The following is a 27,174-nucleotide window of genomic DNA, read 5'->3' on the forward strand; positions in this document are numbered from 1 at the left end:
GGGGTGGACTAGTTGCACAAAAGCATCTCCTAACATTCTTTTTTTTTTTTTTTTTTTTTTTTTGAGATGGAGTCTCACTCTGTCACCCAGGCTGGAGTGCAGTGGTGTGATCTCGGCCCACTGCAACCTCTACCTCCCAGGTTCAAGCGATTCTCCTGCCTCAGCCTCCCAAGTAGCTGGGACTACAGGCGCCCACCACCACGCCCGACTAATTTTTGTATTTTTAGTAGAGATGGGGTTTTACCATATTGGCCAGGCTGGCCTCGAACTCCTTATCTTGTTATCCGCCCGCCTCGGCCTCCCAAAGTGCTGGGATTACAAGTGCGAGCCACCAAGCCTGGCCTGTAACACTCATTCCTTACACTGGGTTGTTACTAGAATGTCAGAACAGTCACAGTTTTATTTTTCTTTGTCTGATAAGAAACCCTAAACTGCATATTTGTGTAACATCTTTACAATCTTCTTTCCTTAGAACGCCTGACAGACAATCTCAGAGTTGGACAGACATCCATAGTTGCTGCTCAGATGTTTCTTTTTTTCAGAGTTTTGCTGCTAAGAATATCTCCTCAACATTTGACTTCATTGTGGCCAATAATGGTCTCTGAATTGGTGAGTACAAGTATTGTAAGTTTGAAAGCAAGGTTGGAGCTTTTTAAAATGCTTTTTCAGTAACATAACGTACTATTTCCTATGTATCCCATTTTATCTAAATGTTATTTTTAATCAGGTTGGTAGCACATGGTTAGCTCTTGGTTAAACAGAGAATATTTTACTCTATGATCATATTTGATCTCTCACCCTGTCAGTTATTCCAACTAACTTGTACCATTTGATAATACTTACTAGTTTTTTATATACATATAAATTTGGGCTGGGCGTGGTAGCTTATGCCTGTAATCCCAGCACTTCGGGAGGCTAAGGTGGATGGATCACTTGAGCCCAGGAGTTCGAGACTAGCCTGGGCAACATGGTGAAACTCCTTGTCTACAAAAAAATACAAAAATTAATTCGGCATGGCGGGAAGTTGCATCTGCAGAAGGTTGAGGCTGCAGTGAGCCATGATTGTACCACTGCACTCCAGACTGGGTGACAGAGTAAGACCCCGTCTTATTCATTCATTCATAAATTAATCGATTTTTAAAAATAAGTAAAAAAAAATATTTGGGTAGATTTAATCTGTCTCAGATAGTAACTTGAATGCATTTTTTTTTCAGATTCAGACATTCACACAGCTTGAAGAAGATCTAAAAGATGAAGATGAGTCATTGAGGTAAGCAGTACAAGATCTGTACACAAGAGGAAAAGATAGTCACGATTAAAGCACGTCACTTTAGATATAGAGTTGTCTAATGTTAAATGCTGTTATCTTGAAGTACTTGTGAAAGGACCAGCTATTCCAAAAATTTCTTAAAAAGAAAATTCTTCTGAGGGACAGGTCATAGGTGAATGGACTATAACAGATCTGAATGAATTTATAACAAGCGTTTCTTTGCAAATTTATAGAAGCACCAACAAAGTAAACAGAACGAAAGTTTCAGTCCCGGATGCAAATGGACCCTCAGTGGGGGAGATACCCCAGAGTGAACTCATCTTGTATTTATCAGCTTGCAAATTCTTGGACACAGCGCTTTCTTTTCCACCTGACAAGATGCCATTATTTCAAATGTAAGTCAGATAGGATCGTGTGTCCTTTTTGAAGTAAGAGATTTTGTTTTTTCCTTTTAAGCACTTTCACTTGTTTTTCATGTACAGTTTATGGGAAACCACCATCTGGGTTTCTAGTGACAGCTAAGCCAGCTCGGAATACCAAGTTTCAGATTACTTGCAACATCTGTGGCTCTGCAAATTTGGCTCACAGGAGTGTTTATGAATGTGTTTCTATGGTGTGTGTGTGTGTGTGTGTGTGTGTGTGTGTGTGTGTGTGTGTGTGTGTGGTTTTTGCTACTGAATGCTTATAAAACAGGGCTTACCCACTGGTGCTCCTCACTGCCTTTGTGTAGACCTTTTTGTCTGTGTTTAGTTAGATACAAATGCCTTTATTTGGAGCCTGCCATCTCCGATTCACTTTGCCCCATAGGCTTATGTTTCCTGCCGGCTTAGCACAGCTGCTCATTTGTTTAATTTCATGACCAGCCCCAGAGGCTATTTCTCTCTCTCCTACCCCCACAAAGAGAGTAATCATATAGAAATGTTTGTGGTTAAAGAGCGGGTTCTCTTAAATGCACATTGCTAAGTGAAAGAAGCCAGTCTGAAAAGGCTACACACTGTATGATTCCAACCATGTGACATTCTGGAAAAGGCAAAACCATGGAGACAGTAAAAAGATCAGTGGTCGCCAGGGGTTGGGGAGAGGGAGGCAGGGATGAATGGGTGAAGCACAGAGGATTTTTAGGGCAGTGAAATTATTGCATACAGAGCTATAATGGTAGATCCATGTCATTGTCCATTTCTCCAAATCCATACAATGTACACCACCAAGAGTGAACCCTGATGTAAACTCTGGACTTGGGAGGATAACAGTGAGTCAGTAGAGGCTCTTCAGTTTTAACAAATGTACCACTCTGGTGCAGGATGTTGATAATACGGCAGGCTTGTATGTATGTAGGATGGGATGTACGGGAACTACTTTCTACTCCATTTTGCTGTGAACCTAAAGCTGTTCTGCAAAAGAAAGTCTTTTAGTTTTTAAAAAGCAGGTTTGGGCCGGACGTGGTGTCTCATACGTGTAATACTAGCACTTTAGGAGGCTGAGGCGGGTGGATCACCTGAGGTTGGGAGTTCGAGACCAGCCTGGCCAACATGGCGAAACCCTGTCTCAACTAAAAACACAAAAATTAGGCCAGGTACCGTGGCTCACACCTGTAATCCCAGCACTTTGGGAGGCCAAGGTGGGTGGATCACTTGAGGCCAGGAGTTCAAGACCAGCCCGGCCAACATGGTGAAAAACCCTGTCTCTACTAAAAATACAAAAATTAGGCCAGGCGCGATGGCTCACACCTGTAATCCCAGCACTTTGGGAGGCCAAGGTGGTTGGATCACCTGAGTTTGGGATCAGCCTGACCAACATGGAGAAAATCCATCTCTACTAAAAATACAAAATTAGCTGGGCATGGTGGCGTATGCCTGTAATCCCAGCTACTTGGGAGGCTGAGGCAGGAGAATCGCTTGAACCTGGGAGGCAGAGGTTGCAGTGAGCCAAGATCATGCCATCTGCCATTGCACTCCAGCCTGGGCAACAAAAGCGAGACTCCATCTCAAAAAAAAAAAAAAATACAAAAATTAGCCAGATGTGGTGGTGGGCGCCTGTAATCCCAGCTACTTCGGAAGCTGAGGAAGGAGAATCACTTGAACCCGAGAGGCAGAGGTTGCAGTGAGCCGACATCGCACCACTGCACTCCAGCCTAGGCAACAGAGCGAGACTCCCCCTCAAAAAAAAAAGAGGCCGGGCACAGTGGCTCATGTCTGTAACCCCAGCACTTTGGGAGGCCGAGGCAGGCGGATCATGAGGTCAGGAGTTCAAGACCAGCCAGGCCAACATGGTGAAACCCTGTCTCTACTAAAAATGCAAAAATTAGCTGCCTGTATTGGTGGGCACCTGTAATCCCAGCTACTCAAGAGGCTGAGGCAGGAGAATCGCTTGAAACCGAAGGCGGAGGTTGCAGTGAACCGAGATCGCACCACTGCACTCCAGCCTGGGCGAAAGAGCGAAACTGCATCTCAAACCAAAAAAAAGTGGAGGCTAGGCGCAGTGGCTCATGCCTGTAATCCCAGCACTTTAGGAGGCTGAGGCAGGTGGATCACGAGGTCAGGAGTTCAAGACCAGCCTGGCCAAGATGGTGAAACCCCGTCTCTACTAAAAATACAAAAAAATTAGTCAGGCATGGTGGCAGGTGCCTGTAATCCCAGCTACTCGGGAGGCTGAGGCAGAGAATTGCTTGAACCTGGGAGGTGGAGGTTGCAGGGAGCCAAGATTGCACCACTGCCCTCCAGACTGGGCGACAGAACGAGACTGTCTCAAAAAAACAAAAAAGTGGGTTCCGATATATGTGAATGTGCATAGCAACATTATTTATAATAGGCAAGAAGTAGAGACAACCCAAATGGCCATCAGCTGATGAACAGGCAGATCATGTGACATATCCATACAGTGGAATACGGTTCAGCAACAAAAAGAATTGAAGAACTGAGACACGCTGGAATCTGGATGAACCGGAAAATATGATGCTAAGTGAAAGCTCGAAACAAGGGAACATATAGTGTATGATTCTGCTTATATGGAATGTCCACGATGAGACAGAGTGTGGATTAGTGGGTGCCTAGGTCTCAAGGGTATAGGGGGTTGGGGTGGTGATGGCTGAGCAGGGCAGGATTTCTTTTTGGGGTAATGAAATACTCTAAAATTGATTGTGATAATAGACGTGCAACTCTATGAATATAATAAAAGGCATTGAGTTGTCCATATTAAATAGATACAGTATGTGAATTATATCTTAATAAAACTAATTTTAACGACGTTGAAGGCCTCTTACCAGCAGACCTGACCTTCTGTTTGTTCCCTGCAGTTATAGGTGGGCATTTATTCCAGAAGTGGACACAGAGGGCCCTGCCTTCCTGTCGGATGTAGAGGAGAATCACCAAGAATGCAAACCCCACACTGTCAGGATTCTAGAACTTCTAAAATTAAAGTTTGGGGTAAGTGCTTTTCTTTTCTTTTCTTTTTTTTTTTTTTTGGTGAGACAGAGTTTCACTCGGCCACCCAGGTTAGAGTGCAGTGGTGCGGTCTTCGCTTACTGCAGCCTCCACCTCCCAGGTTCAAGTGATTCTCCTGCCTCAGCTTCCGGAGTAGCTGGGATTACAGGAATGTGCCACCACACCTGGCTAATTTTGTTTTGTTTTGTTCTGAGACGGAATCTCACTCTGTTGCCCAGGCTAGAGTGCAGTGGCACAACCTCAGGTCACTGCAACCTCAGCCTCCTGGTTTCAAGCAATTCTCCTCTCAGCCTCTGGAATAGCTGGAACTACAGGCGCACGCCACCATGCCTGGCTAATTTTTGTTTTTTTGTTTTTGGGTTTTTTTTTTTTTTTTTTGAGACGAAGTCTCACTCTGTTGCCCAGACTGGAGTGCAATGGCAGGATCTCAGCTCACTGCAACCTCCACCTCCCAGGTTCAAGCAATTCCCGCACCTCAGCTTCCCAAGTAGTTGGAACTACAGGCACATGCCACCACTCTTGGGGCTAATTTTTGTATTTTTAGTAGAGACAGGTTTTCGCCATATTGGTCAGGCTGGTCTCGAACTCCTGACCTCAGGTGATCCGCCTGCTTCAGCCTCCCAAAGTGTTGGGATTACAGGCGAGAGCCACCGTGTCCAGCCTGCTTTTCTTTTTAAAAATTATATTCATGAGGCTGGTAATCCCAGCATTTTGGGAGGCCGAGGTGGGCAGATCGCCTGAGGTCAGGAGTTCAAGACCAACCTGGCAAATATGGTGAAACTCCATCTCTACAAAAATACAAAAATTAGCTGGTCATGGTGACCGGTACCTGTAATCCCAGCTACTCAGGAAGCTGAGGCAAGAGAATCGCTTGAACCCGGGAGACAGAGGTTGCAGTGAGCCAAGATCACGCTGCTGCACTCCAGCCTGGGCGACAGAGCAAGACTCTGTCTCAAAAAAAAAAAAAAAGGACCTTATTTCTTAGGTTTTGCCACATGCATGTGCTTCCCAGCCATCTCGAGCCCTCAGTAAAACCATATCATTGTTATGGGTTTGTTTTTTCTGCAGGAAATCAGTAGCTCTGATGAGATCACCATGAAGAGTGAATTCCCGCTTCTGCGCCAACATTCTGTTTCCAGCATCAGGCAGTTGATGCCATTCTTCATGACTCTAAATGGTGCATTTAAGACCCAGAGACAGCTGCCTGCTGATAGCCCAGGAACTCCATTCTTGGACTTTCCTGTCACAGATAGCCCAAGGATCTTAAAACAACTGGAAGAATGCATCGAATATGATTTTCTGGAACATCCAGAATGTTAACCATGTGAGAGAGAATATGTTTAATCCATGTATTGGTACTTTACTGAAAACCAGGTTATATTCTAAAGAAGAAAGAAGGCAGGATAGTGCTTTTGAACAAGCCTATTTCCATTTTGAAAGTAGATTTCAGGCTAGGTGCGGTGGCTCACACCTGTAATCTCAGCACTTTGGGAGGCCAAGGCAGGCAGATCACTTGAGGTCAGGAGTTCGAGACCAGCCTGACCAACATGGTGAGACCCTGTCTCTACTAAAAATACAAAAATTAGCTGGGTGTGGTGGCGGCGCCTGTAATCCCAGCTACTTGGGAGGCTAAGGCATGAGAATTGCTTGAACCCAGGAGGTGGAGGCTGCAGTGAGCCGAGATCACGACACTGCACTCCAGCTGTGTGACAGAATGAGACCATCTCCAAAAAAAAAAAAAAGTAGATTTCAGATAATTTACTGTTCAGCAACAGGACACACCTCCCTAAATGCCTTGTAATATATTTGAATCTGATTCTGCATTTCTTCCTCAATTTATGTAATGAAAATAAAATTAATATATCATCTAACAGTAGCACAAAATTTGTAATATGAAGTAAAGTATGAAGATAATGAAGAAGTTGTTTTCTTTGTTGAAGCAGTTATATGGGTCTTTCTCAGTATATTTCTCTTTTCTCTAAAAGTTTAAACTTATTAAAAGAATGTTATTTTTAACCTTTCACACAAATGTCCTTTAAAGTGCTTATTTTGGTACTCCATTTTAAAACGAAAATACATTGTTTTCTGAGGACAATAATTGCCCCTTACCCATTCAGCAGAGGTAAGGTAACCTCAATGTATTCAAAGATAACCTCAATGTATTCAAACCTCGCACATTAAAAATTACATGTTTGCCGGGCGCGGTGGCTCACGCCTGTAATCCCAGCACTTTGGGAGGCCGAGGTGGGCAGATCACCTGAGGTCAGGAGTTCAAGACCAGCCTGACCAACATGGAGAAACCCTGTCTCTACTAAAAATACAAAATTAGCTGGGCATAGTGGTGCATGCCTGTAATCCCAGCTACTCGGGAGGCTGAGGCCGGAGAATCTCTTGAACCGGGGAGGCGGAGGTTGCCATGAGCCAAGATCGTGCCATTGCACTCCAGCCTGGGCAACAAGAGTGAAACTCCGTCTCAAAAAAAAAAAAAAATTCATGTTTGCACAGTTTAACAACATAAGTACAGGGTTTTAAATTTCTGACAGCACGTTCTTTTCTTTTCTTTTTTTTCTTTTTTCCCCCTAAACGTTTAAAATATATTTCTAAACAGAATGGGCCAATTCAGTCACAGTAACTGTTGATCTCCATAGCAGAGCAACCCACAAAGACAGAACTGATTTTTTTCCCATAATCAGGGGTGAAAAATATACAACTTGTTTCTGAACCAAAACCACAATTTCTGCAGTTTAAAATGTTTCACTGCTAATATGGCCCTGGTAGAAATTATGTAGTTTCTTTTCTTCTTTAAAAAAAAAAAAAATTAAAAAAATTTCCTAAGACACTAAATGCTCCATCTGGAATGTAGATTCTGATCACAAAGCAGCTCAGTTAACCTAAAAAATAAAAAATTCCCATCACCTGTCTCAGTAGGGCCTGAGAGTAGTGTGGGGAACCCCAGCTTTGGTATGGAGAGTCATGGCCCCTTGAACCAGATAGAGACCTTGAATAGCCATAGCTGGTGCTTCTCTCAGGATAAACTCTGATGTAGGAAGTATCACCCTCATGAGAGTGGAATTTGGTCATCCAGTTGACGCAGGGCATATTCCATGTCTTCTTTTCTGAGACACCCAACCATCCCCACTCCATCCTTCTGCACATCCGTGTAACAGGCATCCCCAGCTTCTCGCGTGTGATCCTTCAGGTCCTGCCAGCTGCCTGATGGAAGAAGTCCATTTCTTCCATAAATAGCATCCTCTGCATCTCGAGGGTCCTCGAAGCGCACGGAGGCGAAGGGCACAAGGCCGTACCGGCTCTTGAGCTCGATCTCGCGGATGCGGCTGTACTTGTAGAACAGGTCCTGCGGCTCCTTCTCGCGCACGTGGGTCGGAAGGTTTCCCCACGTAGATGCACCCGTCGCCCTCCCAGCCGCGCTCGTGTCCGCCCAGCCGGACAACCGCACCGCCCGACGCTGCTGGCCAGCCGCAGCCCGCATCCGCCCGTATCGCCGCCGCTGCCGCCTCAGCACGGCTGCCCCCGCAGCGTCTGTTTTGTTTTATTCTAACAGGGTCTCTCTCTGTCGCCCAGGCTGGAGTGCAGTGGCGTGATCTTGGCTCCCTGCAACCTCTGCCTCCCGGGTTCAAGCGATTCACCTGCCTCAGCCTCCCAAGTAGTGGGCATTATAGGTGCCAGCTAACCATGGCCGGCTAATTTTTTTTTTTTTTTTTTTTTTTTTTTGAGACAGAGTCTTGCTCTGTCACCCAGGCTGGAGTGCAGTGGCGCGATCTCGGCTCCCTGCAACCTCCGCCTCCTGGGTTCAAGCGATTCTCCTGCCTCAGCCTCCTGAGTAGCTGGGATTACAGCTATGTACAGCGATGTCTGCAAAGATAGGGATTTAACAGCACTCATATCTTCATGTTCATAAAAAAGTCCTACACGCGTGATGTACGTCTAGATCTTTCCTTTTGTCACAGGATATAGCACGGTAGTTACGGATATAGTCTCCGCAGTGCCTGGGTTTGACTCAGCTTCCCCACGTACTGTCCTGCGCATATTTTGTGTCTCAGTTTCCTCATCTTTAAGGTAGGAATATCAATGGTAACTACCTCTTACGGTGGTAGCAACTAACCAGCTCTGCCACTTCTGTGATCTCTAAGCAGTTTTGATCATACACCCAGCAGTAAAAATTAAGTATCTCTCCAGCCCCAATATCTATAAGCTGTGTGTTACATTAATTTACTTGGGTTCCAACATGTGTATTTTATAAAACAGAGGATGGGGATTTTAAAAGTATGAGGACTGGGGCCGGGCGTGGTGGCTCATGCCTGTATTCCCAGCACTTTGGGAGGCCAAGGCGGGCAGATCACGAGGTCAAGCTATGGAGACCATCCTGGCCAACATGGTGAAACCTCGTCCCCACTAAAAAAACAAGAATTATCTGGGCGTGGTGGCACGTGCCTGTAGTCCCAGCTACTCAGAAGGCTGAGGCAGGAGAATCACTTGAACCCGGGAGATGGAGGTTGCAGTGAGCAGAGATCACACCACTGCACTCCTGCCTGGCAACAGGGCAAGATTCCATCTCAAAAAAAAATAAATAAATAAAGTATGAGGACAGGCCAGTCGTGGTGGCTCATGCCTGTAATTCTAGCTTTGGGAGGCCAGGGCAGGAGGATTACTGGAGTCCAAGAGTTTGAGACCAGCCTGGGCAACATGGCGAAACCCTGTCTCTATAAAAATACCAAAAAAATTAGCCAGGTGTGGTGGTGCAAGCCTGTAGTCTCAGCCACTTGGGAAGCTAAGGCAGGTGGATTGACTGAGCCCCGAAGGCAGAGATTGCACTGAGCCGTGATCACCCCACTGCACTCCAGCCTGGGTGACAGAGTGAGGCTCTATCTCCAAAAAAAGAAAAAAAAAATGAGGTCAAACAAAATTACCAGTTTGTTCTTTTTAGATTTTAGAGTTAGAGTCTTGCTGTGTTGCCCGGGCTGGAGTGGACTGGCATGATCATAGCTCACTGCAGCCTCGAACTCCTGGGCTCAAAGCAATCCTCCTGCCTCAGCCTCCTGAGTAGCTGGGGCTACGGGTGCACACTACCATGCCCAGCCAACTTTTTGATTGTTTGTAGAGGTGGGGTGTATTAGTCCATTTTCACACTGCGATAAAGAACTACCTGAGCATGGGTAATTTATAAAGAAAAGGTTTAATCGACTCACAGTTCTCCATGGCTGGGGAAGCCACAGGAAACTTACAATTATGGCAGAAGGCAAAGGGGAAGCAAGGCACATCTTACATGGTGGCAGGAGACAGAGTGAAGGGGGGAATTGTCACACACTTTAAACCATGAGATCTCATGAGAACTCACCATCATGAGAACAGCATGGGGAAAACCGCCCCCATGATTCAATCACCTCCCACCAGCAACACGTGGGGATTACAATTCTATATGAGATTTGGATGGGGACACAGAGCCAACCCATATCACAGGAGTCTCACTATGTTGTCCAGGTCAGTCTCCTGGGCTCAGGCGATCCTCCTGCCTTGGCATCCCAAATTGCTGAGGTTACAGGTGTGAGCCACCACAGATGGCCTGATATTTTTTTCTTAGCCCCCAACAATGAGCTTCTGCACCCTCTTTGGAGACAACTGCTATAACTCAGTTTGTCCCAGAAGTAGGCCATATGTGGCCCTAGGACCAAAGGGTCGCTACACCAAGGGCAGGCAGTGTTTTGGAAGGGCTGGTGTTTGCCAAGGGTGGCTGTGGCAAACAATGAGAACAGACTGGGAATTCTCACAGAGCAGAGAGTTGAACACACGGATCTTCAGGGAGTGCCGGTGTGGGTGTAGCCCCTGTGTATGTGGGCAAGAAATGAGCCCTACCGCAGCAGCCAGGGTGGTGCTCAGGACTTCATGTGCGTGATTTTCTTACCACCCCTCAGAAAGTAAGGACCCTTAGCCCATTCTACAAAGCCAGCAGAACTGAGGCTCAGAGAAGCAGGGTGAAGAATCGAAACCTAGGTCTCTCACCAGCGCTCTATGTTGTCAACCACAGTGCTGAGAAAGTTAAACAGGAACCAGATAGCCGGGGCTGTCTAGTCATGTGCAGAAGAGACAGTTTCTGAGACTGCCCCACCCAGTTATGACTTCCTGCTAAACCAGCTCCTGCCAGGGCCACAGCAGAGGAGATGGGAGATCATACACAGAGAGGAGGTTCCCCGCTTACAAGGCGTGATGAAGTGTGTTTTAAAGGAGAGCAAGCCTTACTTTCCAGTATTTGCACACAATGCTCAGTTGAAAATCAGTAGAAGTAGCTGGAATCATGGAGATCATTGATGAAGACTGTAAAGTTTTGAACAACTGTCTTGGGGAGCAGACAGTCTTCTGTGCTATTTGGTCTTAAATGCTCTGAGGTAAAAGAATGCAGCTGTCGGCCGGGCATGGTGGCTCACGCCTGTAATCCTAGCATTTTGGGAGGCTGAGGCAGGAGGATCACAAGGTCAGGAGTTCCAGACCAGCCTGGCCAATATGGCGAAACCCCGTCGCAACTAAAATTAGCCAGGCGTGGTGGTGGGTGCCTAAAATCCCAGCTATTCAGGAGGCTGAGGCGGGAGAATTGCTTGAACCTGGGAGGCGGAGGTTGCAGTGAGCCGAGATTGCACCACTGCACTCCAGCCTGGGCAACAGAGCAAGACTCCATCTCAAAAAAAAAAAAAAGTTACAATAGTAAATAGTAAAATTTTATGTATATTTTACCACAGTGAAAAAATTTAAAAACAAAACACTATGGGCTGAAAGTGGGGGCTGGGGAGACAAGTGTGATTGTTCTGCAGCTGGAGAGAGCCGGGGCTCCCCCTTCTCTGATGAGCAAGCACCTGTCCCATCCTCAGAGGTGTTTAGAAGCAGATGAGAGGTAGCAAATTAAGCAGAAGCTTGCCCTTCAATGTTTTGGCTATAGAAATGGAAGTCACTTGACATTTTACCCTAAACTGATGTTATAATAATGACTTTTAGGAACAGATGGCCCTTTCTTTCTAGCCTCCTTCCTGGCGGCCACTTATCCATCTCTTCTGCCTCCTCCAACCACTCAGCGTTATCATCTCTTGCATTTCATAACATATGCCATTCCATCTGCTTGATATTATTTTATCCTCCTCCTCCACCTGGCAGAGTCCTAGTTAAGTCATTTTTTGGTTTATTTAACAAATATGTGGGAACCAGGCTGAGTTCTGGTTTTGAGGAGCTTCTTGCTCTCTTTCTGTACTTCCTCAGGTACAGGGAGGGACTCTGCCATAGGGTGGCCCTATGATTAACATAGTTGCCCATTGCTGGCTGAGAGGTAGGAGCTGTTTTATGAAACAAACAGGGTCCATATCTTCGGTTCCTAGCGGTGTCTGGCATATATAGGTGCCCGGTACGTGACTAAACGAACATGAAGGTTGATGTATCTGCCCAAGGCGGTGCTAGAAGGAAGAGGGGAAGGTACTAAACCAAATGTTTAATCAATTAATTTGTAGGACTAGACAGGTGGGGGCTCAGAGAACAGTGGGTTTTCTGCCCCAAACTTGGACCTTTCATCATCTTAATAATCATCTCCCCGAGGCAGATGCTATTTCACTGATCACCCACCTTTTGCTCAGGAGGATGTTCTTCCTGGTATGCTTTTTTTTTTTTTTTTTTTTTTGAGACAGGGTCTCGCTGTGTTGCCCAGGCTGGAGTGCAGTGGCACGATCTTGGCTCACTGCGATCTCCATCTCCCGGATTCCAGTGATTCTTGTGCCTCAGCCTCCTGAGTAGCTGGGACTACAGGCATACACCAGCACGCCCGGCTAAATTTTGTATTTTCAGCAGAGATGGGGTTTCACCATGTTGCCCAGGCTGATCTCAAACTCCTGACTCAAGTGATGTACCCACCTCGGCCTCTCAAAGTGCTGGGATTACAGGCGTGAGCCGCCACGACTGGCTCTCTCTTTTTTTTTTTTTCTTTTGAGACAAGGTCTCACTTTGGCTTTGTTGCCCAGGCTGAAGTGCAGTGGCGTGATCATGGCCCACTGCAGCCTCGACCTCCCAGGTTCAGCCTCCTGTGTAACTGGGACCACAGGTGTGTGCCACCATGCCCAGCTAATGTTTTTTATTTTTATTTTATTTTATTTTATTTTTGAGATGGAGTCTGGCTCTGTTGCCCAGGTTGGAGTGCAGTGGCTCAATCTTGGCTCACTGCAACCTCTGCCTCTGGGTTCAACAATTCTCCTGCCTCAGCCCCCAGAGTAGCTGGGGTTACAGGCATCCACCACCACAACCAGCTAATTTTTGTATTTTTAGTAGAGACAAGATTTCACCATATTGTTCAGGCTGGTCTCAAATTCCTGACCTCAGGTGATCTGCCCACCTCGGCCTCCCAAAGTGCTGGGATTACAGGCATGAGCCACTGCACCTGGCCTGTTTTTTATTTTTTGAAGAGACTGGATCTCCCTATGTTGACCAGGCTGGTCTCAAATTCCTGGGCTCAAGCAAACCTCCCACCTCAGACTCCTAAAGTGCTGGGATTACAGGTGTGAGCCACCACACCCAGCCCCCTGACATGCTTTTTACCTCTTCCCTGCTGGTTCCAGGACTACCCAGCTTCAGTCCAACCCCCCTAAAGCATCTCTGTGAAGACCACCCATGCCGTCTTCACTAGGCTTGTCCATAATTCTCGCCGGACCCTTTGACAACCAAACAGGACTCGGTGCACAGCTGTACTTCTTGCAGCTCTTTGTGTTATATGAATGGTACTGTGTTAACTAAGGACTCAATTGAATAGTGTTCCACGTTTCTCCTCCTATTATGTTTTGTTTGTTTCCGTCTTATCCAAGATAACAATCTAAATTTCATGCCCGGATATGGTGGCTCACGCCTGTAATCCCTATACTTTGGGAGAGATCACTTGAGGTCAGGAGTTCGAGACCAGCCTGGCCTACGTGGTGAAACCCTGTCTCTACAAAAAGTACAAAAATTAGCCAGATGTGGTGGTGTGTGCCTGTAATCCTAGCTACTTGGGAGGATGAGGCAGGAAAATCGCTTGAACCCAGCGGGGCAGAGGCTGCAATAAGCCTAGGTCACACTACTGCACTCCAGCCTGGGTGACAAAGCGAGACTCTGTCTCAAAAATAAATAAATAAATAAATAAAATAAATTGTGTCAGGAAACAGACAAGTTGTTTAATGTTTTGGGAGGGGTAGCTCTTGTGGCCAGCTGAAGACGATGATTGGCCTAATACTATTTGAAATGCTTGTTCCCTGGTGCCATAAAGAAATAGCACTTGAACATACATTTAATTTACTCAGCAAGGCCATTTTTACTTCCTGCAGAAAAGGTACACTCGCCAGCAGTTTTGCCATGAGAGTACACCAAACAAAGGAGACAGGGTCATTTATACTGCTGTGTCCGGTTTCCATTGGCTGGAACGGGACCTCACATTCTGTATTTGTCCCGATTGGCTAACAACTTAGAACTTTTTAAAAGAGGCAAAAGGTGGAGGAGAACAAAGGAAGGAGGAAGGCCGGGTGCAGTGGCTCACACCTGTAATCCCTGCACTTTGGGAGGCCGAGGCGGGCATATCACGAGGTCAGGAGATCGAGACCATCCTGGCTAACATGGTGAAACCCCGTCTCTACTCAAAATACAAAAAAAATTAGCCGGGCATGGTGGCAGGCACCTGTAATCCCAGCTACTTGGGAGGCTGAGGCAGGAGAATGATGTGAACCTGGGAGGCAGAGCTTGCAGTGAGCTGAGATCGCGCCACTGCACTCCAGCCTGGGCAACAGTGCAAGAAAAGAAATGAGGAAGTAATTTGTGGAATGCTGAGAAAGGTAAAAACACCTTCAAATAAGGAAGAGGAACAGGCTATGACCTAATGCTTGCTTGGACCAGTATAAGCATGCCAGGGCAAATATTTAGGCTAAATTGTGGGAGCTAAGAACTTAAAGTACATTGATTATCATGGCTAGCAGATATTTAAGAATGTTAGCACAGGTCTTTGAATAAATTTTGCTTCTAAGAGAAGTTACTATTTATTCCTAATTAAATGGGGAGGAAAGTCTTTGAAGAGGAACCTCTACTTTACTTTTTACAATATGTACATATGAAGCTAGGCAGGCACCATGACACACCTGTAGTCCCACTTACTCAGGAGGCTGAAACAGGAAGATGATTGAGACCAGGAGTTTGAGACAAACCTTGGCAACGTAGCAAGACCACATCTGTACAAAAAGTCAGAAAATCAGCTGGGCATGGCTGCACAAACCTATAGTCCCAGCTACTCAGGAGGCTGAGGCAGAAAGATAACTTGAGCCCAGGAGTTCAAGGCTGAGGTGACTTATGATCGAGCCATTGCACTCTAGCCTGGGCAACAGAGTAAGACCCTGTCTCAAAAAGAAAAAAAAAAATCTGCATAATCAATATCACCAGCAAGGTAAAAGATAAATGGCAAACTGAGAAAAATATTTCAGACTCCTGTCACAAAGTGCTTATTTCTCCAATACTTGAAGAATGCCTACCAAAAAAAAAAAAAAAAAAAAAAGAAAAGAAAAATGGGCAATGGATATGAGTAGGGAGTTTACCAAAAAATACAATTGGCCTTTACACATGTAAAATATGCCAAAATTTACAATGTTAGAAAAAAATAAAAATTGTTCTGAGATATTATTCACTGATCATTTGCAGGTATCAATAAGGGAAAACAGGATACTCCATATATTGCAGGTAGGAATATAAATTGGTTCAACCTCTCTGGAGGAAATTTGGCAATTTCTATCAAAATTACAAATGCATGTACCTTTTGACCCAGAAAATCTATTTCCAGGAATTTATCTGATATATGTGCATATGCACAAAATGACTTATGTACAAGTTATTCATTAAAGTAGTACTGGCCAGGTGCGGTGGCTCATGCCTGCCTGTAATCCCAACACTTTGGAAGGCCGAGGCAGGTGGATCACCTGAAGTCAGTCAGGAGTTCAAGACCAGCCTGGCCAACGTGGTGGAACCCCGTATATACCAAAAATACAAAAATTAGCCAGACATGGTGGCATGTCCCTGTAATCCCAGCTATTCAGGAGGCTGAGGCAGGAGAATCTCTGAACCCAGGGGGTTGGAGGTTGCAGTGAGCTGAGATCGTGCCCCTGTACTCCAACCTGGGCGACAGAGTGAGACCCTGTCTCAAAATAAATAAATAAATAAAATATAAAGTAGTACTGATAGTAGCATAGGTTTGGAGACAAACTCCGTGTTCTCCAGTAGGAGACTGGCTAAATAAATTGTGACACATTAATTTAATGGAATATTATGAAGATGCAAAATACTGTGAGGAAGCTCTTTTTTTTTTTTTTTTTTCTGAGATGGAGCCTCGCTCTGGAGACTGGAGAGCAGTGGCGCGATCTTGGCTCACTGCAACCTCTGCCTCCCAGGTTCAAGCAATTCTCCTGCCTCAGCCTCCTGAGTAGCTAGGGTTATAGGCATGCACCACCATGCCCGGGTAGTTTTTGTAGTTTTAGTAGAGACGGGGTTTCACCATGTTGGCCAGGCTGGTCTTGAACTCCTGACCTCTGGTGATCCACCTGCCTCGGCCTCCCAAAGTGCTGGGATTACAGGTGTGAGCACTGGCCAGAGGAACTTCTTAATAGCCTTGTCTTTTGGCACCCATGGGGCACAGTTTGTGCAGTGAATCGGCTGCGTGTGGCCGCAGCCCTTTTTGGCAGGACCATTATTCCTTTCCTTTGTATCTTTAGTAGAGGCGGGGTTTCACCATGTTGGCCAGGCTAGTCTGAAACTCCTGACCTCAAGTGATCCGCCGCCTCAGCCTCCCAAAGTCCTTATCTTTGTCAACTTGGAGGTGAGGACCCAAGAGAGCAAATAGGGATTTTTTGGTTTGTTTTTTGTTTGTTTGTTGTTTTTGTTTTTTATGTTGTTTTGTTTGTTTGTTTGTTTGTTTTTGAGACAGGGTCTCACCCCGTTGCCCAGGCTGGAGTGCAGTGGCAGGATCAAGGCTCACTGGAGCCACAACCTCTCTGCCTTAATCGATCCTCCTACCTCAACCTCCCAAGTAGCTGGGGCCACAGGCGTGCACCACCACACCCGGCTGATTTTTTGTAACTTTCTGTAGAGACGGGGTTTCACTATGTTGCCCAGGCTGCTCTCAAACTCCTGGAATCAAGTGATCCTCCCATCTAAGCCTCCCAAAGTGGCAGGATTACAGGCATGAGCCACCACCCCCAGAGTAGTTTTTATAATTTAAAAAAATCCTTTTATACCAACCTCTTATAAGTTTAACCTCTACTTGATTGCCTTCTGCTTCTCTTATATGAGTAAGACTTGGGAATGTAGAATTAACTTCACAGTATGTTACTATTGTGTAAAAAAAAAGTGGGGAAGTGGGACGGGCAAGAATTTGTATGTATAGGTATGTATTTGCTTAGACATGGATAGACTATTGTCTATTCCTATTGCTGCTGTAACAGATTACTGCAAATTTAGTGGTTTAAGACTACAGAAGTCCGGGCTCGGTGGCTCACACCTGTAATTCCAACACTTTGGGAGGCCAAGGCGGGTGAATCACAAGGTCAGGAGTTTGAGACCAGCCTGGCCATCATGGTGAAACCCTGTCTCTACTAAAAATACAAAAAATTAGCTGGGCATAGTGGCGGGTGCCTGCAATCCCAGCTACTCAGGAGGCAGAGGCAGGAGAATTGCTTGAACCTGGGAGGCGGAGGTTGTAGTGAGCCGAGATCATGCCACTGTACTCCAGCCTGGGTGACAGAGTGAGACTCCGTTTCAAAAAAAAAAAAAAGATTACAGAAATGTATTCTCTTCCAGTTCTGAGAGCAGACGTCCAAAATGAGTTTCACTAGGCTGAAACCAAGGTGTCTACAGGGTCTCGATCCCTCTAGAGGCCCTAGGGGCTCTAGGATGTAGTCTCTTGCCTTTCTAGCTTTCAGAGCTGCATTACCTACATTCCTTGCCCCCTTCTCCATTTCGAAAGCTAGAAGCACAGCATCTTCTCGTCTCTCTCTGCTTCAGCAGTCAAATAATCTTCTGTTGGCTCATGCCTATAATCCCAGCACTTTGGGAGGCCAAGGCAGGCAGATCACCTGAGGTCAGGAGTTTGAGACCAGCCTGGCCAACATGGCGAAACCCCGTTGGTACTAAAAATACAAAAAATTAGCTGGGCATAGTGGTTTGAGCTAGTAGTCCCAGCTATTTGGGAGGCTGAGTCAGGAGAATCACTTGAACCCGGGAGGCAAAGGTTACAGTGAGCTGAGATTGTGCCATTGCCTTCCAGCCTGGGTGACAGAGCGAGATTCTGTCTAAAAAAATGATAATAATAAATAAATTAGCTGGGTGTTGTAGCACACGCCTGTAATCCCAGCTACTGGGGATGCTGAGGCAAGAGAATCGCCTGGGAGACAGAGGTTGCAGAGAGCTGAGATCACACCACTGCACTCCAGCCTGGGCAACAGAATGGGACTCTGTCTCAAAAAAAAAAAAAAGATAAATTGGCTCATTTGGTCTTGTTGCCCCCACCCAGGAGCCAACTCTGCACAAGAGGATGGCTTCAACCCCCTATATTTCATCTTCAACCTGACTAACCAGCACTCCCCACTTCCTGGCCCCCATCCACCAACTTATCCTTAAAAAACCCCAGTCTCCAGGCGGAGGTTGCAGTGAGCTGAGATCGCGCCACTGCACTCCAGCCCAGATGATAGCGCAAGACTCTGTCTCAAAAAACAAAAACACCCAGTCTCCAAATTTTCAACTGTCGACGAAAAGAATCAAACTCTGTAAAATATGTGAAGAGATTTATTCTGAGCCAAATGCAAGTGATCCTGGCCCATGACACAGGCCTCAGGCTCAGGAGGTCCTGAGAACATGCGCCCAAGGTGGTTGGGGCACATTTTAGGAAGGCATGAGAAATCAATCAAATACATTTGAGAAATACATTGGTCAGCTGGTCGCGGTGGCTCACGCCTATAATCTTAGCACTTTGGGAGTCCAAGGTGGGTGGAACACCTGAGGTCAGGAGTTCGAGACCAGCCTGGCCAATAGGGTAAAACCCCATCTCTACTAAAAATACAACAATTAGCCGGGCAAACTCAGGAGGCTGAGGCTGGAGAATCTCTTGAACCCAGGAGGCAGAGGTTGCAGTGAACTGAGATCCCGGCAAGAGCGAAACTCTATCTCAAAAAAAAGAAATACATTGATTTGGTCCAGAAAGGCAGGACAACTCAAAGTTGGCGGGGGGTGGGTGGTGGGCAGGGGTTTGAGGCTGTAGGTAAATTTAAACATTTTCTGGTTGACAATTGGTTGAGTTTGTCTAAAGACCTGGGATCAACAGAAAGGGAATGTTCAGGTTAAGATAAAATATTGTGGAGACTGGGTGTGGGGGCTCACGCCTGTAATCCCAGCACTTTAGGAGGCCAAGGTGGGTGGATCACTTGAGGTCAGGAGTTTGAGACCAGCCTGGTCAACATGGTGAAATCTCATCTCTACTAAAAATACAAAAAAAAAAAAAAAAGCCAGGCGTGGTGGTGGGCGTCTATAGTCCCAGCTACTCGGGAGGCTGAGGCGGGAGAATCGCTTGAACCCAGCAGGTGGAGGTTGCAGTGAGCTGAGATTGCCTCACTGCACTCCAGCCTGGTCAACAGAGCGAGGCTCCATCTCAAAAAAAAAAAAAAGAAAAAGAAAAAAAGATTGTGGAGACCAAGGTTCTTTTGAAGTCTTTATACTGGCTGCCCTTAGAGACAAAGATGACAAATGTTTCCTATTCAGACCTTTAAAAGGTGCTAGAGTCTCAATCTTTTCAAGATTGGGAGGGCGTGGAAGAAAGAGATCCAGCTATGTTAATAGAGATTCTTTACAGATGCAAATTTCTCTCCACAAAGGACGGCTTTTCAGGGCCATTACAAAATATGGCAAAGAAACATGTTTTGGGTTAAAATTTTTCTTCTTTGTCACCTAATGTTATGCCAGAATCAGATTGGAAAGTAAGTCACAATATATAGGGTTAAGTAAAACCTGTCTGATGAGAATTTATGGTTTGTAGGGCATGAATCCCCAGATCCCTTAGATAGGAATTTCATCACGATAAGAAAAACATTAGCATTTTAAGCTGGGCTTGGTGGCTCACGCCTGTAATCCCAACAGTTTGGGAGTCCAAGGCGGGCAGATCACCTGAGGTCAGGAGTTCCAAGACCAGCCTGGCCAACATGGCAAAACCTTATCTCTACTAAAATTACAAAAATCAGCTGGGCCTGGTGGCGTGTGCCTGTAATCCCAGCTACTCAGGAAGCTGAGGCAGGAGAATTGCTTGAACCTGGGAGGCGGAGTTTGCAGTAAGCTGCACTCTGGCCTGGGCAACAGAGCGAGACTCCCTCTCAAAAAAAAAAAAAAAAATCAGTGCTTAGTCCTCACAACTTTTGGGGAGACTGAATTTGGGTAACAATAAAACTCCATTCAGTCAGCTCTGTGTGAATTAAACCCTTTCTCTATTGCAATCCCTCTGTCTTGATAAATCGGCTCTATCTGGGCAGTTGGCAAAATGAACCCGTTGGGCAGTTACAATTCCCTTTTGCCATATATGTTTACATTCACAGGTTCCAGAGATTAGGATGTGGCTATCTTTGGGGGTCATTATTCTGCCTATTAAATAAAGTCTATGGGGTGGGCGAGGTGGCTTATGCCTGTAATGACAACACTTTGGGAGACTGAGGCGGGAAGATCACCTGAGGTCAGGATTTCAAGACCAACCCGGCTAACATGGCAAAACCCCATCCCTACTAAAACTACAAAAATTAGCCAGGTGTGGTGATATGCATCTGTAGTCCCAGCTACTCAGGAGGCTGAGGCAGGAGAATCCTTTGAACCCAGGTGGTGGAGGTTGCAGTGAGCCAAGATGGTGCCACTGCACTCCAGCCTGGGCAACAGAACAAGACTCCATCTCAAAATAAATAAATAAATAAATAAATAAAAATAAGTAAATAAATAAAATATATGGGAAGCCATTTATTTGGACCGAACACTTGCACTAGACCCAACAGACTAAAACAAAAATGGAGTCACTCATGCCAAAGTTGCACGTCACCAAGCAAAACTAAGTTGTTCATTTGATGCAAATGGGCCAGTTTTAGCCGGCATAATAAGGAAGTCCCCTCTGTTTGCCCTTACAAGGAAAGTAACCTGAAGTAACCAGATACTAATCAACCTACTTTTTGTATTTGCTGTTTTCTTGTTCCTGCTCATGTTACCTTCCAAACCCGACTGTTCTGCCGTGCCCAACAGAGCACCTGTGTTTTTAGATGAGATGCTCCCCATTCACGCCTCACAAACAAAGCCAATTATATCATTAAACTAAATTTGTTGAAATGTGGTCTTTTGAGAAACCTAACAAAACTGTCTGTTCAAATTGGCTCTCAATCTGTTTGACACAATGGCGGTGGTCTTTAATAGTGTCTTTGCTATCTGGTGTGACAAGAGTTTCCAGGATTCTCTTGGCAGACTTGGAATCAGTCATCTTAGATGCCTTGTTCTTTTTTGATTCCGGGGTGGGGAGGCGGGGAGAAGTAGAAAAATGGTATTTTGAGATTACAATCCTAATTCCTTTTATTTATTTATTTATTTATTTATTTATTTATTTTTTGAGACAGAATCTCGTTCTGTCGCCCAGGCTGGAGTGCAGTGGCGCAATCTCAGCTCACCGCAGCCTCCACCTCTCAGGTTCAAGCAGTTCTCCTGGCTCAGCCTCCAAAGTAGCTGGGATTACAGGCACCCGCCACCATGCCCGGCTAATTTTTTGTATTTTTAGTAGAGACAGGGTTTCGCCATGTTGGCCAGTGTGGTCTCGAACTCCTGACCTCAGGAGATCCACCTGCTTCAGCCTCCCAAAGTGCTGGGATTACAGGCGTGAGCCACCGCGCCCAGCCTACAAGCCTAATTCTATATGTGCTCATTGCTGCTAGGTTGCTCATTGTTTCTAGGCCTTTTCAGTGAAGAGCTAAGAGCTAGAAAACACACTTTTTTTTTTTTCTTGAGACAGGACCTCCCTTTTTTTTTTTTTTTTTTTGAGACGGAGTCTCGCTCTGGCGCCCAGGCTGGAGTGCAGTGGCGCGATCTCCGCTCACTGCAAGCTCCGCCTCCCGGGTTCACGCCATTGTCCTGCCTCAGCCTCTCGAGTAGCTGCGACTACTGGCGCCCGCCACCACGCCCGGCTAATTTTTTGTATGTTTTAGTAGAGACAGGGTTTCACCGTGTTAGCCAGGATGGTCTCCATCTCCTGACCTCGTGATCCATCCGCTTCCGCCTTCCAAAGTGCTGGGATTATAGGCGTGAGCCACCGCGCCCGGCCGGGTCTCCCTTTTTCACCCAGACCGGAGTGCAGTGGCACAATCAGGGCTCAGTGCAGTGTTGACCTCCCGGGCTCAATCAGTCTTCCCACCTCTCCCTCCCAAGTAGCTGGGACCATAGGTGCACACAACCACACCCAGCTAATTTTTTTTTTATTTTTGTAGAGACAAGGTCTTGCTATGTTGCCCAGGCTGGTCTCAAACTCCTAGGCTCAAGCAATCCACCTGCTTCAGCCTCTTAAAGTGCTAGAGGGGACCCGGTGGCTCACGCCTGTAATCCCAGCACTTAAGGAGGTTGAGGCGGGTGGATCGCTTGAGCCCAGGAGTTTGAAACCAGCCTAGGCAACATGGCAAAATCCCATCTCTACAAAACAAACAAACAAACAAAAAAACATACAAAAATAAGCTGGGTGTGGTAGCACCCTGTAGTCCCAGCTACTTGGGAGGCTGAGAGGTGAGAGGATCACTTAAGCATAGGAGGTTGATGCAGCAGTGAGCTGTGATCGTGCCACTGCACTCCAGCGTCGGCGACAGAGTGAGACTCCGTTTCAAAAAACAACCCCACCCCCAGAAAAACCCTCATGAATTCATAGTGATATTTCTGATTCACAGAAAATTCAGATTTGACTTTTTGTTCTTTAGACTTACACGTAAATTTGAATTTGTCTGATATGAGCAGCACAGGTGCGTGGCTGAGCAACTGCTGTGGTCAGGAAGTCCCCATAAGCCTTGATGCCTCCAGTTCACAGTCAAAACTGCTGGCTGGGTATTTACTTGACCCTCTATACATTATGTTTATACAGTATGTCTTTTTTTTTTTTTGAGACAGAGTCTTGCTCTTTCACCCCGGCTGGAGTGCAGTGGCGTGATCTTGGCTCACTGCAACCTCTGCCTCCCAGGTTCAAGCGATTCTCCTGCCTCAGCCTCCTGAGTAGCTGGGACTACAGGCACCTGCCACCACACCTGGCTGATTTTTGTATTTTTTTTGTAGAGAAAAAATACACCACGTTGAACTCCTGGTCCCAAGTGATATGCCCACCTCGGCCTCCCAAAGTGCTAGGATTGTGGGTGTGAGCCACCGCGCCTGGCCCATTACATCTTTTACATCCCTGATTTTGATTTCTTCCTACAAGTAAATATGTATTTAAAATTCATCATCATCTTATGTTAATATAGACAGACATTTTGTTTGTCTAATGTTTGTTCTTTGGAAGATTCCTAAAAAAGAAATCATGAGAACAATATTTCTTGAGTTATTGCATATTGATGACAGTTTGTGGCCTTTATCTTGAATCTCACTTTGGCTAATTATAAAATTCTTGGCACATATGTTCTTTCCTTCAGTTTATTAAAAAATATATACTATTGAGTTTTCTTTTGGCCTAAAGCACTGCTGGCAAAGTTTGATGATAGTTTGATCTTTTTTCCTTTACAAATAACTTGGTTATTTTGCCTGGATTTATAAGAAATTAAAGTCCAATAATTTTACTAAAGTAAGCCTTGGTATTGGTGGTTCTAGGTCAGTTTCTTCAGACATTTACTGTGTTCTTTTTTTTTTTTTAAATAGAGATGGAGTCTTACTATGTTGTTGCATAGGCTGGTCTCAAACTACTAGGCTCAAGCAATTCACCAGCCTTGGCCTTCCAAAGTCTTGGGATTAAGGGTGTGAGCCATTGCACCCAGCCAACTGTGCCTGTTTTTTTTTGTTGTTGTTGTTGTTTTTGAGACGGAGTCTCCTTCTGTTGCCCAGGCTGGAGTGCAGTGGCGCCATCTCAGCTCACTGAAATCTCCGCCTCCTGGGTTCAAGCGATTCTCCCGCCTCAGCCTCCCGAGTAGCTGGGATTACAGGTGCCTGCCACCATGCCTGGCTAATTTTTTGTATTTTTAGTAGAGACGGGGTTTCACCATGTTGGCCAGGCTGGTCTCGAACTCCTGACCTTTTGATCTGCCCTCCTCAGCCTCCCAAAGTTCTGGGATTACAGGTGTGAGCCACTGTGCCTGGCTTTTTTTTTTTTTTTCTGAGACAGAGTCTTACTCTGTCGTCCAGGCTACAGTGCAGTGGCATGATCTCAGCTCAATGCAACCTCTGCCTCCGGATTCAAGTGATTCTTGTGCCTCAGCCTCCCGAGGAGCTGGGATTACAGACATGTTTCCACCACACCCAGCTAATTTTTGTGTTTTTAGTAGAGATACCATGTTTACCAGGCTGGTCTCGAACTCCTGACCTCAGGTGATACATCGGCCTCGGCCTCCCAAAGTGCTGGGATTACAGGTACTCACCACCACGCCCAACTAATTTTTTTCTTTTTTTGAGACAGAGTTTCACTCTTGTTGCCCAGGCTGGAGTGCAATGAATGTCATGATCTCAGCTCACCGCAACCTCTGCCACCTAGGTTCAAGTGATCCTCCTGCCTCAGCCTCCAGAGTAGCTGGGATTACAGGCATGCGCCACCATGACCGCCTAATTTTGTATGTTTAGTAGAGACAGGGTTTCTCCATGTTGGTCAGGCTGGTCTCAAACTCCTAACCTCAGGTGATCTGCCCGCCTTGGCCTCCCAAAGTGCTGGGATTACAGACGTGAGCCACTGCGTCTGACCCAATTTAAAAAATACATATTTTTAGTAGAGACCGAGTTTCACCATGTTGGCCAGGCTGGTTTCAAACTCCTGACTGCAAGTGATCCGCCTGCCTTGGCCTCCCAGAGTGCTGGGATTACAGGCGTGAGCCACTGTGCCAGGCCATTTTTTTTTTTAAATTTTGGCAAAGAGGAGGGTCTTGCTTTGTTACCCAGGCGGATCTTGAACTCCCAGACTCAAGCAATCCTCCCACCTCAGCCTCCCAAAGTGCTGGGATTACAGACATGTATTATGGCACCTGGCCATATAGTTCATTTTATTTAAAGAGAAGTCACATCGAGCAGTGGAAGTGGAGAAAGAACAAATAAATCATACCTTATTTTTATTTTTTATTATTATTTTTTTTAGTCAGTCTTGCTCTGTTGCCCAGGTTGGAGTGCAATGACACCATCTTCGGCTCACTGCAACTGCTGCCTCCCGGGTTCAAGCGATTCTCTTGCCTCAGCCTCCCGAGTAGCTGGGATTACAGGTGTCCACCACCACGCCTGGCTAATTTTTGTTGTTGTTGTTGTGTTTTTTTTTTTATTTTTTTGAGACGGAGTCTCACTCTGTCACCCAGGCTGGAGTCCAGTGGCGCAATCTCGGCTCACTGCAAGCTCTGCCTCCTGGGTTCATGCCATTCTCCTGCCTCAGCCTCCCGAGTAGCTGGGACTACAGGCGCCTGCCACCATAACCGGCTAATTTTTTGTATTATTAGTAGAGATGGGGTTTCACCGTGTTAGCCAGGATGGTCTCGATCTCCTGACCTCGTGATCCACCCACCTCGGCCTGCCAAACTGCTGGGATTACAAGCGTGAGCCACCTTGCCCAGCCCATATCTCATTTTTGTATTAAATTAGTTTTCCTGACATTTATCGACGTCGTTTTTCCTTTGACCCTATTGATTCCCTGCTGCTTGGTTGGTTTTCTTCCCAGTACTTTCATCCCATGTGGGGCTTTGTCCTGGAAAGGCACGCTGGTTGGTTTACTTTTCAGAATCTGAGTGGGCCAGACTGCTCCTGCTCCCTGAGTCCTAGCTACAGTCTGGTGGTTCTCATTCATTGGTATAGGCGCCATCTTGCTGTTGTTCTTTTTTTTTTTTTTTTTAATATACTTTAGGTTCTGTGATACATGTGCAGAACATGCAGGTTTGTTACATAGGTATACATGTGCCATGGTGGCTTGCTGCACCCATCAACCTGTCATCTACATTAGGTATTTGTCCTAATGCTATTCCTCCTCTAGCCCCCACCCCCCGATAGGCCCTGGTGTGTGATGTTCCCCTCCCTGTGTCCAAGTGTTCTCATTATTCTACTCCCACTTATGAGTGAGAACATGCAGTGTTTGGTTTTCTGTTCCTGTGTTAGTTTGCTGAGAATGATGGTTTCTGGCTTCGTCCATGTCCCTGCAAAGGACATGCACTCATCCTTTTTTATGGCTGCATAGTATTCCATGATGTATATGTGCCACATTTTCTTTATCCAGTCTATCATTGATGGGCATTTGGGTTGGTTTCAAGTCTTTACTATTGTGAACAGCACTGCAATAAACATATGTGTGCATGTGTTTTTATAGTAGAATGATGTATAATCCTTTGGGTATATAATACCCAGTAATGCGATTGCTGGGTCAAATGGTATTTCTGGTTCTAGATCTTTGAGGAATCGCCACAATGTCTTCCACAATGGTTGAACTAATTTATACTCCCATCAACAGTGTAAAAGCATTCCCTATTTTCCACATCCTCTCTAGCATCTCTTGTTTCCAGACTTTTTAATGATTGCCATTCTAACTGGCATGATATGGTATCTCATTGTGGTTTTGATTTGCATTTCTCTAATAACTGGTGATGATGAGCTTTTTTTCATATGTTTGTTGGCCGCATAAATATCTTCTTTTGAGAAGTGTCTGTTCATATCCTTCACCCACTTTTTGATGGGTTTTTTTTTCTTGTAAATTTGTTTAAGTTCTTTGTAGATTCTGGATGTTAGCTTTTTGTCAGATGGATAGATTGCAAAACTTTTCTCCCATTCTGTAGGTTGCCTGTTCACTCTGATGATAGTTTCTTTTGCTGTGCAGAAGCTCTTTAGTTTAATTACATTTGTCAATTTTGACTTTTGTTGCCATTGCTTTTGGTGTTTTAGTCATGAATTCTTTGCCCATGCCTATGTCCTGAATGGTATTGCCTAGGTTTTCTTCTAGGGTTTTTATGGTTTTAGGTGTTGCATTTAAGTCTTTAATCCATCTTGAGTTAATTTTTATATAAGGTGTAAGGAAGGGATCCAGTTTCAGTTTTCTGCATATGGCTAGCCAGTTCTCCCAATACCATTTATTGAATAGGGAATCCTTTCCCCATCGCTTGTTTTTATCAGGTTTGTCAAAGTTCAGATGGTTGTAGATGTGTGGCATTATTTCTGAGGCCTTTGTTCTGTTCCATTGGTCTATCTGTCTGTTTTGGTACCAGTACCATGCTGTTTTGGTTACTG

At 45.6% G+C, this 27,174-nt stretch overlaps 1 protein-coding gene and 2 pseudogenes across 4 annotated transcripts in view, besides 3 other annotated features; 1 reads left to right on the forward strand and 2 right to left on the reverse strand.

Moving 5' to 3' along the window:
- DOP1B (DOP1 leucine zipper like protein B) overlaps positions 1-6,733 on the forward strand; it is a 137,451-nt gene extending 130,718 nt beyond the window's left edge. For 3 of the 4 annotated variants that reach the window (NM_001320714.2, NM_005128.4, XM_017028509.2), the window contains 5 exons: positions 473-609; positions 1,215-1,270; positions 1,504-1,665; positions 4,563-4,692; positions 5,779-6,733. In NM_001320714.2, coding sequence (NP_001307643.1) covers positions 473-609; positions 1,215-1,270; positions 1,504-1,665; positions 4,563-4,692; positions 5,779-6,030 — 737 coding nt within the window. In that variant the 3' untranslated portion in view covers positions 6,031-6,733. Of the gene's footprint in view, positions 1-472; positions 610-1,214; positions 1,271-1,503; positions 1,666-4,562; positions 4,693-5,778 lie in introns of those variants that run through there. The other variant, XR_937581.4, reaches the window with a different exon arrangement.
- Positions 2,252-2,301: a silencer, noted in NCBI's record as "silent region_13283". NCBI's record gives its function as "represses an Ori minimal core promoter by ATAC-STARR-seq in GM12878 lymphoblastoid cells {active_cell/tissue: GM12878}" and the evidence as "EXISTENCE:reporter gene assay evidence [ECO:0000049][PMID:35858748]".
- Positions 7,290-8,251, reverse strand: SRSF9P1 (serine and arginine rich splicing factor 9 pseudogene 1; annotated as a pseudogene).
- Positions 8,275-8,516: a silencer, noted in NCBI's record as "fragment chr21:37668114-37668355 (GRCh37/hg19 assembly coordinates)". NCBI's record gives its function as "represses an EF-1alpha promoter that drives an FKBP-Casp9 reporter gene in an ReSE screen in K562 erythroleukemia cells {active_cell/tissue: K562}" and the evidence as "EXISTENCE:reporter gene assay evidence [ECO:0000049][PMID:32094911]".
- On the reverse strand, positions 16,345-16,462 carry RPS26P1 (ribosomal protein S26 pseudogene 1; annotated as a pseudogene).
- Positions 19,516-20,087: an enhancer, noted in NCBI's record as "OCT4-NANOG-H3K27ac hESC enhancer chr21:37679355-37679926 (GRCh37/hg19 assembly coordinates)". NCBI's record gives its function as "activates a minimal SCP1, AML or CMV promoter by ChIP-STARR-seq in naive H9 embryonic stem cells {active_cell/tissue: H9 hESC(naive)}" and the evidence as "EXISTENCE:reporter gene assay evidence [ECO:0000049][PMID:30033119]".

Source organism: Homo sapiens, chromosome 21 (genome assembly GCF_000001405.40).
Source record: "Homo sapiens chromosome 21, GRCh38.p14 Primary Assembly".
Classification (NCBI taxonomy): domain Eukaryota; kingdom Metazoa; phylum Chordata; class Mammalia; order Primates; family Hominidae; genus Homo; species Homo sapiens.